At 37.4% G+C, this 13,381-nt stretch overlaps 1 protein-coding gene across 4 annotated transcripts in view, besides 1 other annotated feature; it reads right to left on the bottom strand.

Annotated features, from left to right (window-relative positions):
- Window positions 1-13,381, bottom strand: part of NELL1 (neural EGFL like 1) — a 906,136-nt gene that overhangs the window by 10,557 nt on the left and 882,198 nt on the right. For all 4 annotated transcript variants that reach the window (NM_001288713.1, NM_201551.2, NM_001288714.1 and 1 more), the window contains one exon: window positions 4,748-4,941. In NM_001288713.1, coding sequence (NP_001275642.1) covers window positions 4,748-4,941 — 194 coding nt within the window. The remainder of the gene's footprint in view (window positions 1-4,747; window positions 4,942-13,381) is intronic.
- Window positions 11,276-11,445: an enhancer, noted in NCBI's record as "experimental_20421 CRE fragment used in MPRA reporter constructs". NCBI's record gives its function as "activates a minimal promoter by MPRAs in K562 erythroleukemia cells, with activity observed for the non-introgressed 11:21575316 variant allele {active_cell/tissue: K562}" and the evidence as "EXISTENCE:reporter gene assay evidence [ECO:0000049][PMID:34662402]".

Here is a 13,381-nt window from a genome sequence, read left to right as displayed (position 1 = left end):
TTGGGTTCAAAGAGCAAGGCAAAGCATTTTTATGAGCAGTTTGCTGGAATTCAGAAAGTTTGCTTCTATCCTGGCCCCAGGCACAGACCAGACTGTTCCCTGGCTTCTTCCTGTGAGTAAGTCCTATTCTTAGGAAGGCAGAACCAGTATGCTGACTGCTCCTTGTGGATCAGATTCTTTCCTCCTTGCCAGAAAGAGATACATGAGTTCTTGAGAGTGTCGCTGGCATGACCATCTTCAGTTTCTGGGAATAGGTTTACATAAACCAGATCAGATGGCCATGATTCCAGACAATCTCATGAAAAAGGTCTTCTTCACTTTGACTTTCCTTTCCACGGTAATTCATCCCTGACTTTATTATAACATGGAATACTGTTATACCATAAATACTGGCTATTTATGGTATCCCTTTCCCTACTCATCTCTAAACCCCAGAAAAACTCAAGAACTAACACTGCTCAAGTCTTTAGTATTACTTTGTTTTCACGATGAAGGCTACTCACATTTTTTAACTGCAAGAAATCATAGAAACACTATCTGGCCTTCATAGTTCGCTCTCTTCCTCCCACTAGATTATCCAGTTACTACTCAAAATAGTATAGGTATAAGTGTACATGTAGGTATAGATGTAGTAGTATACAAGCCCAACTTGCAGACCCTGGTTCTTACTCTTATGTAATGGCACCTGAATCCTGTTCACCTGAGAAAATGGGCAGCTATGTCTCAAACATGCTACTCAGGAGCTTTTTTTTGCCCAGAGAATAGGGAAGACATTACCACAGACACTAAGTCTCTAGCATCATCAGTCATCAGGACCCATTTTTCACTTCTGCATTTTCTCCCATTAGATGTTACTTCTCTATCCCTCTTTCAGGTTTTCATCTTTACTCCTCTGAACCTTTACCTCAGCCTAAGTGATTTCTTTCTAGTTAGCTTCTATCTGCTCAGGTCATCCATCATGCTGTCAATCAGACCTTGACTGGGCCCTGCCAATTCCAAACGTAAAATCTCTTACGATCATTTGCTGCCCACAGGATGAAGTCTAAATCCCGTGGCCTGGCTCTGTCTTCAGCCTTAATCTCCTGGCTCATCATAATCTCCTGGCTCATCAGTGACTATACCCTTCTTATACTCTTTTTGTTCCTGATATTTTGAGCTCATGATTCACTTCATATTTCTAACACAACATATATTCTTACACTTCCTCATCTTTGTTCTTACAGTTCCCTCTTGTTTGGGATTCACCTTCCCCTACATCTCTACTTGATTAAATTCCTCATCCTTTAAGGGCCCCTTCAAAGATCACCTCCTCTGTGAAAGGCTTTCCGTATTCACTTCTGCATCTTCCCAGAGTAGAGCATTCAGTCGTCCCTCAGTATCTCTGGGGGATTGGTTCAAGGACCTCTGCACAGATACCAGGATCTGCAGATGTTCAAGTCCCTTATAAAATGGCATAGTATTTGCATATAACTGCATAGTATTGCAAACCACCTATGCATATCCTCCCATATACTTTAAATCATCTCTAGATTACTAATAATACCTAATAGGGTAAAAATGAAATATTTATATTTTTAATTTAAATTTGCATTATCTTTGTTTTTTAAATACTTTTGATCTGGGGTTGGTTGAATCCAAGAATGTGGAACCAACAAATACAGAGGGCAGACTATGCTTCCCCTTTCTGTGTTCCCACAGCAAATTGTTCATAGCTCTACCATATATGACAAGTGGTTAGTTGTTTGTGTATCCATTTTCATCTTCATCTCCATGATCTGCAACATAAACACAACTACTCACACTAAAATACTACATTTCCTAGAAACGAATAAGCTGGGGACGTCTCTACCTTCCCATGTAGCACAGGCTGAAAATAAAGATGTCTTCCTAAAGTCCTAGACAAATTTATGAATGGAAGAGCCACAGATGGGTATCTATGAAAAGACGCTGGGCTGTAACCAAGATTTATGGATCAATCCCAGAGAGACAACCACTTTTCATCTGGGTTCCTGTGGTCTAAATAATGCTGGAGGGACATAAGTTTTAAGCTGTGCAGCAATCTTTCTGTACCTAATTAACTAGGTGTCTAAAGATGCACAAAAACATTGTCACTGCCAAGGAAGTACATAGAATCTAAACAAAAGCCCAAATCCATTTATGCTAGCCTAGCTTCATCATTGAACTCTATTCATCTGTGGACATGTTTCAAGGCCTTTTTATCAATTACCATGAAACACTAGCAGCTAAGCTGGTGTACTGACTCTCAAAGGGGAAAGTAGCCTTTTAAAAATTTTAACTCTATTTCCTTCAGCAGTAAGTCTTGACCTTTTGTTGGTTTGTGTAATTCTGCTGTTGCATAATTTGACGGCATTTAAATCTGAAACATCAAGGATATGATTGAAAAGATAGTACTTTATATCCCAACCTTGATTTTATTACTTAGCTTCCAAGATGATGCCATTATAGTCACCCATTTGGATGTGTAAGTATTGGAGGTATTTCTTATCAAATTGAATTGAAACAGAGCATTTTCAACTTCAAATAATAGAAACAAGGAGGGCCACAAACAGTTCATTTTATAATGGTGACTTACAGAATCTGATTTAGGATGCTTAATTCAGCTCCTAAACCAGGCTGTCTTCCCCCTCCACAACCTCTGGGAAACTGTGCTATAAATGGGCAATGAGTACATGTAGAACACAAACAAACAAAAGATTTATGTACAGAAATCTGCCTGTACTTTATTCAGAAATTGCAGTGCTTTGCAGTGAAGGTGCATCATATTAACAAAATTAGATTACAAGAATTGCTCATCCCCTGTGGAAATTTCAGTCTAATTCTCATAAGACTTTGGAAACACTTCAGGATTCAAAACAGAAGAAATCAATATACGTTGCTTGGATTATTAATACAGTTAATTAAAGAAGCTCTGGGAAATTTTCAATGATTAGTAAGTTCCCTGCTTCATCATGGCTTAAATAAAACAAAAACTGAAAGAAGAATTTTACTCTCATACTAATCAAGACTCCACTAATGTCCTTTGCCTATTCCAGGGACTGGGGACCTAGAAAGCCCAAAAAGGATGTGAGGATATGTAATGATCATCCTCAAAAGTTTAATAACACAATAGTTTCTTGAAATGACCTAGCAAAGAATTCACCCCCATTCTGCTGGCTGAATGGGAGACCTAATTACCATCCTCTTCCATGAGGAATTATGGAAATATTCTAACCCACAATGAGATTTGTCTTCTCTTAAAAATTTTTGCCCTTTGAGTCAGCACCATGTGGTTAAATATTATACTTAATAACTTCAAAACCCCTTGAAGGAATGTCTCACCAGTCACTTACATACAAGGAAGTACATGGAATCTAGTTGAAAGTCAAAAGTCTGAGTTGAAAGTCTGAGCTCAGTCAAGTTAGATTACCAGTTACCTAACTGGTTTTAAATATACCAATAAATATCATCGTAGAGTGTTACAAGACATCTGACAAGATGGAAAAACTATGAACTTTGAGCCAAGCAAGTGGAGTTCAAGTCACAGCTTAGACATTTATATCTTTAACATTTAGGGCAAGTTACTTTATCCCATGGAAATTCAGTTTCATTGTCTTTCAAAGTAGTGCTGTAAGAAGTAAACATGATGCAGCTTTTTTGAATTATAGGGTGGCTGAAATATAGCAGGTGCTCCAATAAGGGAAAACAAACCTAGATTGGAGTGTGGGAAACTAGGTTTATGTGAAAGGGGAAAAAATAGGTGTTGGGGGTAATGATCTAGCACTTGATAATGTGGCCCTCCTAACTAGGTGGCCCCAGGTCTGTGGATGTGTGGCAGATGAAGGCAAGTGGATGAACTGGATGATTTCTTAAGGCTCATTTCAGCTCTGTTTCAGCAGACTGGGAATTTATCAGGAGACTTGGCTAAGAGGCTACTAAGCAAGTAATTTATCTTGGTTCCCATGCACATAAAGCTCAAGATTAAATAGTCCCATCCCAACAGACATAGACATACCAGGCAAGAGCTACAGTAGAGCAATAACAAAGGAAAATAAATAGGCAAGATCAATAAAAGAAGAAATAAAGCACAAAGAGATCAAACAGTTTAATAGACCCATTTTGCAAAGCATAAAGCAAAACCAAATGATGACAGAATTTTATTTTCATAAGCATTAAGCTCACTTTCCAACAACTTAATATAAGGAATGGCCCAGCACTGAGAATAACAAAGAAGACATCAATTTCTAAGAGGCCTCATACTATCATTATCATTTGTTCAAAATGAAAATCCACCTGTCTCAGCACTGGATGCAAGTCTGTTGGCCTTGCTTTTCTAGATGATGTCATAAAGTGAGCAAGTTCATGCAGGTGGTTATTTTAGGCAAAGAGTAGTTTTAATCAGCAAGTTTGTATAAGCGTGGGATGAGGGCTCATTAAAACTCTCACCCAACCAACCTTAAAAGCACTGTAGGCTTTCAGTGGGAGGACTATCATTGGCTTTTCTACCCTGCTTCGCCTTCCCTGCAGTTCCTTCTCAATCTCATACCTCACTTTCCACTAAGAACACAATCAATTCAAAGCAGGCTTCCCTACCCCTTAGCATCATCATTAGCTGTAATGTAGATAAGAACAGGAGAAGCCTGTTCAGGAACTACAGTCAACAGCAAGAGGGAGAGAGCTGGGGAGGTAGAAAAGTGAGGGAAGAAGAGAAAGAACAGTTTCAATTTCTGCTGCACCACATCAGCCTCACCTTGCAGGAGCAGACAGAACACCTGTCTTCTTTCAAGGTCCACACCTGGCCATTGTGCTTCAGCCCCCCTTCATGAGGACAGTCACCAGAGCAGGAGGGCCCAGAGGGGCAGAGACAGTCAAAGCCCCCTGCCAGGTTGATGCAGGCAGAATCGTTCCAACAGGTGTGAGTTCTTAAGGCACATTCATCAATGTCTGCAATATAGGAAGCACAGAAGCTTAGAATCTAGCCAAGGGAACTTAGAGAACAAACAACCATCATTTGCAGTAGCATTAACTAACATCATCGACCATTTACCTTGTGCTAGGTACTGCCAAGCTGTTCACATGTATTATCTCATTTACACTGCAAGTCAGTTCTGCTCTGTGTGGGAGATCTGTCCTTATTCCTATTCTGCAAATAATGAAGCTGAGGTTCATAACTTAAATAACATGACCACTGTCATAGAGCTAGTAAGTGGCTGATCTGAGACCCAAATCTACAGCTAGCTCCCAGACTCTAATTACTAAAATATCCAGTAGCAGTTAGCAAGTTCTTTTAGGATATTCTTAAGAACGATTTCATCCAGAGGCCATAAACACTGTTAATTCATTAACAGTATGCACACACCACCATGGAGATCTGAGTCTTTTAGAAAAGATGTGAATGTATTAGCCACTGAGTAGGAACAAGTGGGCAATTTGGGCAACCTTGAGACAATCAGATTGCTCCTAGATCCTACCACCAAAGTTGAAGGAAGTGGGAACAATTCTTGATAGGTGTCTTTTATAGTCAAAGTCTTACTATCCTTATGGCCAGCAGAATATTTGCCCGTGCATAAAAAATAATTGCTATATGGATGGATGCTGATGAAAGACATAAATATATTGTCCTGCTCTTTATTGACAGCCAACAATGGAATAAAAACATAAATCCAGTCGGCCGATTCTGACATTTAAAGCTTGAGCGACCTTAACAACATCTCAAACACAAACCTGTCCAACCCTGGCTTAAGTCCTTCCCCAAAAGGCAATCCATTACCTTGCAAAATACCTGACTCCACCTTTGGATAACTCTTTTGGAAATGTCTCCCTTAAATTGAGATGAAATATACTACCGAGTAACTTCTACTCATTTGTAGAAGTACTGATACTTAGTGTCTGAGGCCATTGAATAAGTGTCTACTAGTCTACTTGGTTTTGGTTTACCTGCTATGCACAAGTTTCTTTGCACATGGTGCAATACAAAGCAGATGACATTAAGAAATTCTAATAATATTTCTAGAAGTTACTTTTTTCCAAGATCTAATTTTTGGCTTTGTCTTACCAATTTTAGCTTTAGTCAAGACATTTCATTAGTGAACAATGATTTCTCCTTTGAAAATTATAGAAAAGATCCCAAATTATGATGCCTGTATGGTAAGTCAACTAAAATCAAGCCTCACTATATCTCCTCACTGTTACTAGTCATGCCCATCCCATTCTCAGTGTATTTCTATTTGAACATATGGTGCTCCTTTCATATAGCCTCTCTTATCTCTTCAATCTTCTTTCAATTCTCTTATTCTTCTCAACTAAAAGGAGTTTTAAATGTGGGAGTCTGGTGACCAATGTTTGAAACCAAGCTCTTACTTTTTAGTTGAGTGCTTACCATGTATTAGTCATTTTACACGTAACAGTTATATATTCTTTGACATGTTACTTTGTTTTTCTCTCATTTATCTTCTATATACACTATACCCACTCAATGTATGGTCTTCCAAAAATTTTAAACCCAGCATAGCATATAAATGCCATCTAATACTGCAATTGTTATCTCTTGTCCCCTCCCTTTTCATTCAAAAGCAGTGAATACAAAATTTCAGTTAAATAGAAGGAATAAATTCAAGAAGCTCTATTGTCAAACATGATGACTGTAGTTAATAACAAGGTATTGTATGCTTGAAAATTGAGAATATTTTTGTCACAAAAAAGTAAGTGTATAAGGTAATATATATATATATATTATGTAGCTTGATTATTTAGCCATTCCAGAATGTATTCCTATTTCAAAACATCATGTTGTACACCATAAATATATATAAAATGTATTTGTCAACTGATTTTTTTTTAAAAAGCAACGGGAGATCCACAAAGAGGCCATATTGTTTCCTATGAAACAACTGTGTCTTAGAACATGCTTTCTTTTATTATGAGAGTACTCTCTCTCTTTCCCTACTTTTTCTTGTCCTATAGGGAATGAGGTGAGGTATCAATCAATTAATTGATAAGCACTTTCCTTCCTGTACTACTTTCACTCCTACGCAGTCTTAAAAATTCAGGTTAAGCCTCACCATCTCTTATATGGCAAGACAGTCACTACAGATTTTTTGCTTTCTCTGTACCTTATACACAATTCTATCCTGCATTCCTCTCTCAGGAGTTACGTGTTTAACTTGTCTACCTCCAGAGAGAGTGAGCTCATTGAGGGCAGACACTAAATTTTATTTTTCTTTCTCTTCCCAGTGCTGAGTATAACAGAATACTATATGGATATTCGATGTATTTATTCCATTTAACTTTCTTAGGAAATCCACAGACTGAGACTATTATAATGCCTACTTTGCCAAAACTCGGTCTTTAGAGTGTTCAACAAGCATAAGGCATAATCACAACCCTGCCCTTCAGGGAACACATTTTGTTGTTGAGTTCTCATCTGTGAAGGCCCTTGGGTCTAATTTAAAGTAGAAAAAATACAGCAAATTAGCAACCACATTGAAGAAGGGGCAATGCCCTGCCCCTTCCCCAGGAAAAAACTTTTATTTTCTGTCAAATGCTTGAGAACAAGGGCAGAGGAAGCATTAACAAATGGCTCCAGAAATTGTCTGGAAGTATAACTTCAACCCATCCACCACCAGTGGCTACAAAAGGGTTGGTAATTTATGGCTTTCTCTAAAAAATATCTACATTGACAACTAATGCCCAGCTATATTATGCTTTTAAAATATTTGGTTATTTTGCATTTACAAAGTTGCAAATATATTGGTAGTGATTTTCTCTCATAAATTAAGAAGGCTGAGCATAAAGATAAACATACCTATTGTGCACAATAAAAGCAGGGCGCAAAACCAGGATTTGCTTTCACTTCTCCAGAATGAAAAGATTTCACAGTTGAATATAGGACCATATTGCCTACAGAGTTCCATGTAATTGCTTTACTTATGACACAGAAATCTAATTCTGTTTCCATGCAATTTAGCAGATTTATGGAAAGCCAGATGTTAGCAATTATGGAAACCAACATTATTCATATTCTTAGTAATACAGACCTGTTTGCTCTGCACAAAGCCAACTTAATCTATTATACATATCCCAAGGCAGCCAACGGGAAGAGGCACCCTATTTACATATTGCAACTGTTGTTCTCTGCTGAGCAAACACAAAGTTATTCACCCGTGAGACTTACCCAAATCATCAGACAGGCCTCCCAATGACAAACAGGCAATGAAAGAAAAATTACACGAAGTATTTGAGTATTTCGTACTCAAATCTATTATCATTAGAATGTACTTGTTTTTCTTATTGTAAATAATGGCTGGCTGTGATCTCTCTGTGTTTCTTCTTATAAATTCATTATTTAAATGCTTCATGCTCGAATGAAATATTTTTTCAATAAAATTCCATGGCTAAGCTTGCATTAGAACTAATTTTCTTGCATTAACATTTTCACAATTTCTGAAAGCTGTTATTATTGTACTCAGTTTTGCTCTTTAAAACAATCTAGTTGTGCCAAGTCAATCTGCTTTCATCTTTGATGTGAGGTTTTTAGGTTACTTGGGCATGTAAGAAAATAGAATTCAGAGATGTTTATAACAGCAGCAATCAAACCAATCCTAAACTAGCTGCAAACAATTTTCCTACCCTTCAAGCCAAATGGCTCTGCAGAAATTTTTAATAGCATAACCACTGTATTAGTACTTGCCTCAGGAGCTAATACTTCTACAGGTTGATTTCAGAAATCAAAGTAAACATTTTACCAACAGTTTGGTAACAGGTCAAAGCAGTGAACTTTTTCATTACCCCATATTCCTCTTTCTTGAATAACTTTGACAGCACATCTAGTCTTATTTTCAAACTCAAAACAGGTGATGTGTCAGAAACAAAAGTTTACCCAGCGTTTGAATATACAGCTGTGTGTGTGTGTTCCTACCTGGAAATCATTATGAGTGGCTCAGAAATGAGAACAGAGCTTGGGGGTTCATTAATGACAGACAGTCTAGAGAACAGATCCCTCTCCAATATCTAAAGCAGTATTGCTTTTTTTACAGTGGCAGAGAGAAAATTATGGGGGAAAATATACACACTACACGTTAGCAAAATAAGTAAAATAAGTAGCGAATCTGAAGTCTGATGTAACTTGCAAAATAAAAGGCTAATGAAATTTTAACCTGCACAATAAATTTCAAATCCAGGCTAAGCGGTGGCAGCCATGCTCTATCATGTGCTGGCCATACCACACTTGGATATTGTGTTCCCTTTAGCACACAGACTATGAAGAATGAGGTTGACACAGTTAGAACACATCAGAAGAGATCCATTAGCGTGATGAGGAGCTCAAACTCATCTCACTTTGGCAAAACACAGGATGTTCAGCCTGAAAAGACAAAGACTAAAGGAAGAGATAAGTTAGAGATAGCTTCATCTATTTGAGATGCTGCTATGTATCTTTTAGGAAGAATTTTCAATACCCCTTTAGCATTAACTCTTCACTCACTGTTCCAGCCCCAAACCTTTCCTGAGTCAGGAAGAAACCCTTTCCTATGGTGTTCCCTTGTTTGGTGTATAATTTTCTTACTCTGCAATGACTCTTCCCCTTTCTTTTAATTAAGGAGACTCTCTTTTGACAAAGGAAAAATATAACACTGTTTTGGCTCACTATTTCCTTGATCCAGATTTTATTTCCTAGTATCTACAATTAGCAACTATCCGCATTTACTCATTTTCATTCTCTCCTGAATGTGTGCAAGCTTCCGTGGGACCCTCTTCTCGAAGGCTAAATCTTGAAGTCTCTCATAACCACTAGTTTGCAAAATCATCACCCTTGCTTAAAAAGTATTATAACAAATATTGTTATTGATTATTTCAGTCTAAGAGCTCTCTCTGTGACCCTTCTGGAATATAATATTGCCCTCTTCATCCTATTATCTCTTCATTATCTAGTCACTAGTACTCATCAATGAATAAATGAATTCCCTGCATATTTATTTAACATCTACTCTATGCCATTAACATCTACTCTATGCCAGATACACTGCTAAGTGCTGGAGATACAATGGGCAAAGAAGCCAGATATGGCCCTGTAAGTATTGACTTTATAGTTGTCTCTCATTTTAAAAAAATATTTGTATATCCTAAGTTTCCACGTCTGGTCCTTGTTTCTCTTTCTCCTTAGTGGAAGAAGTATAGCATACCAATTGAAAGCTTAACCTTTGTAATCCAGAAACTGCGGATACCAGTTTGCCTGGCACTGAGGGAGTTCCTGAGATAGCTGACTTTCAGTGCTAAAACTGAGAAAGTTCCAGCCCCATAGGGACAAGTGAGTCAACTCTGTCCCAGTCCATCCCTGCAATTTATTAGTTGTACGACTCTAAAAATTTACCTAACATCTCTGAGTCTTGGTCCCATTATGTAGAAAAATGTAGATAAAAATATACTCCATAGAATCATTTGGGTAAATACATAACGATATGCTTGTCATGTAATAATTGCTCAAAAATGATTAGTCACTATTATTGTTGGTCTTGTTCCTATTGTTTCTATAATTTTTCTCTCATACATTTAATCTCATTTAATGAATTTCACTCTCCCATCTCTTCAGGACAGATACTCAAATATACTCAAATCTGTACCACCACTCCTGATCTCTTATGATGCAACCAGCCCACACATTCATCGATTTGCCAAGGATTTCCACGTGAATTCTGATTCTCACATGAATTCACATGGTTTTGATTAGTACATTGGCTAGCCATACCCAGAAATGTTAACATTAAAAGCTTTCTCTGAGCCTTAATCTGATGTTAAGTGAAACATGTTGAAAAACATAATTTTCTTACACTCCATGAACTTGCTTTGGTCACTAATTACATTTTATTTATAGGATGTACAAATTTAGGTGTTTTACTGTAGACGAAGAAAAGTTTCTTCTAAATTAATCAAGTTGGTTTACTTTCTGCTATGAACAAGTCATACTTCTTTAACCAGTGATTAAATCTGCTTAAAATCAATACAGTTCTGACCAGCAGAGAGAATAAATAAAAAATCCATAAATACTGAAATACTTGCTGTTTAAACAGAGTTTTACTGCACAGAGGCTACAGTATTGATGTCAACAACCCACGATTTATATGTTTTTACATATCTGCTTATGAGTAGGAGGGTGGTTTGTATTATTGCTGCAGTCTACTAAATGACTAATACCCAGCTATACACACTGTATTGTTATAGCCATTATATTGTTTAATGTCTTTAACAAAATTTCATCCTTTGCTGAAAAGAATTACTTTCCCTGTATTTTAATTTTATGCTGCCTATGTTGGCTTTATGTTTTCTTGTATGCTTAGCTGTAAGCATTCTATCTTTTCTATCTTCCTTACCCATTCACATTTGTAAGATTCTGGTCTTATCTTTATGTCTCTCATAGCAGCTTTTACAGTGTCTTTCACCTAATAAGAAATGCATAAACATTTGTTAAGTTTAGATTTGGTGGAGCTGTGGTTGAAAAAGAACCCTTGCTTTTGGATGGCCCCAGGCTTCTCTTTGGTAAAATTTAGGAGCTATATAAAATGTTTTCTAAGATCTTGTCCATTTCCAATTTGATATGATTACTTTTCACCTCTGTAAGGCTGAGCTTGTAATTCAAGTTTTAGAATATGAGTGGTGACAGAATAAGAGCAGGTTAGAGGTGAAGGAAAGAACTAGTTTTGGGATAACAAATGCATTTCTTAGAATTAAACAGTTCTCTTGGACATTCCATAATTATTGAAACATTTCTGCTCTCCCTTAATGAGTATTTACAAGCAAGTGCCAATGAGAGGAAGCAACAAAGGAAGAAGTATGTTTTTCCTGTCTGCACTGAAGCCTTGGCAATGTAATCCTCGGTGACAAATACACATGGGGAATCCAGCCAAGGTGAAAACCAAAACTAACTCTCTATTTTGACAGATCATTCTCTCAAGCAAGTTCTCAGATGAGGAATTATTTCTTCTCTCTTCTGTGCCAAGGAAAGGTCTTAGTCACAGGGAGGTTACAAAGTAATTTCATTCACTACAAGAAGCATTCTGCAATTTACACAGAAGTCAAAGGTCTAAAAACATTGTCAATACAGCAATTCTCAAACCAGGTTTTAATGTAAACAAAGGAGGGTCAGATTACAGGAGCTAAGAATTCCAAGTCCTTTCATGCATATTATTTATTATTTCCTTTCACTGCCCTGTGTATTGTAGTTCCAAACTTCTAAGGGGAAGTCAAGGCTTTTCCAAAAACTATGCCCTAGTAGGGGAGTTAAGACATTGATCAAGGACAGTAATTTGAACCACCATTCCAAGAAGGGCAGCATCTGCAGAGAAGAAAAACAAGCTAATTAATGAAGCTTTATTTGATCTCATGGTGTCTTTTCTTGGAAGATTTTATCCCTTTGAATCTTGATCCTCTCTTCATATTTCTTCTATAAAATGCTAAACAAACAACTGGTTCGGTAAAATAGCTCTGGGGCTGCCCCCTAATTTGAAAGGAAGATTCTCTGAAAAGATCTGTAAGGCTTTTCTGGGGACAAGGGAAAAGGAAGCACAGAGTAGGAGACTTGAGTCCACTGCTCTAGACTTTGGAGGATCAAATTCTCTTTATTTTAAATTTGTCTTTTTTTTCTGTGTTTCTTACCCTAAGGGAGGTAAAATCATATAAGCCAAACTAAGTTGGTTTCCAAGGAAAACCAAAGTAGGTCACTAACAAAGATCCTATCCATGACTGAACACTAGTCAGACTCCTCTGAGCAGACTCTCTGATAAATGATTTTGTCTACTCCATTCACCAACCCTCATTAAAAGACTCAAACAAACATTAACTTTTTTATTATTATTATTATACTTTAAGTTTTAGGGTACATGTGCACAATGTGCAGGTTAGTTACATATGTATACATGTGCAATGCTGGTGTGCTGTACCCATTAACTCGTCATTTAGCATTAGGTATATCTCCTAATGCTATCCCTCCCCCCTCCCCCCACCCCACAACAGTCCCCAGAGAGTGATGTTCCCCTTCCTGTGTCCATGTGTTCTCATTGTTCAATTCCCACCTATGAGTGAGAATATGCAGTGTTTGGTTTTTTGTTCTTGCGATAGTTTACTGAGAATGATGATTTCCAATTTCATCCATGTCCCTACAAAGGACATGAACTCATCATTTTTTATGGCTGCATAGTATTCCATGGTGTATATGTGCCACATTTTCTTAATCCAGTCTATCATTGTTGGACATTTGGGTTGGTTCCAAGTCTTTGCTATTGTGAATAGTGCCGCAATAAACATACGTGTGCATGTGTCTTTAAAGCAGCATGATTTATGGTCCTTTGGGTATATACCCAGTAATGGGATGGCTGGGTCAAATGGTATTTCTAGT

This window comes from Homo sapiens, chromosome 11, assembly GCF_000001405.40.
Source record: "Homo sapiens chromosome 11, GRCh38.p14 Primary Assembly".
NCBI classification, from domain to species: Eukaryota; Metazoa; Chordata; class Mammalia; order Primates; family Hominidae; genus Homo; species Homo sapiens.
Note: the sequence above shows the minus strand (reverse complement) of the source record. Positions and strands in the feature narration are given on the sequence as shown.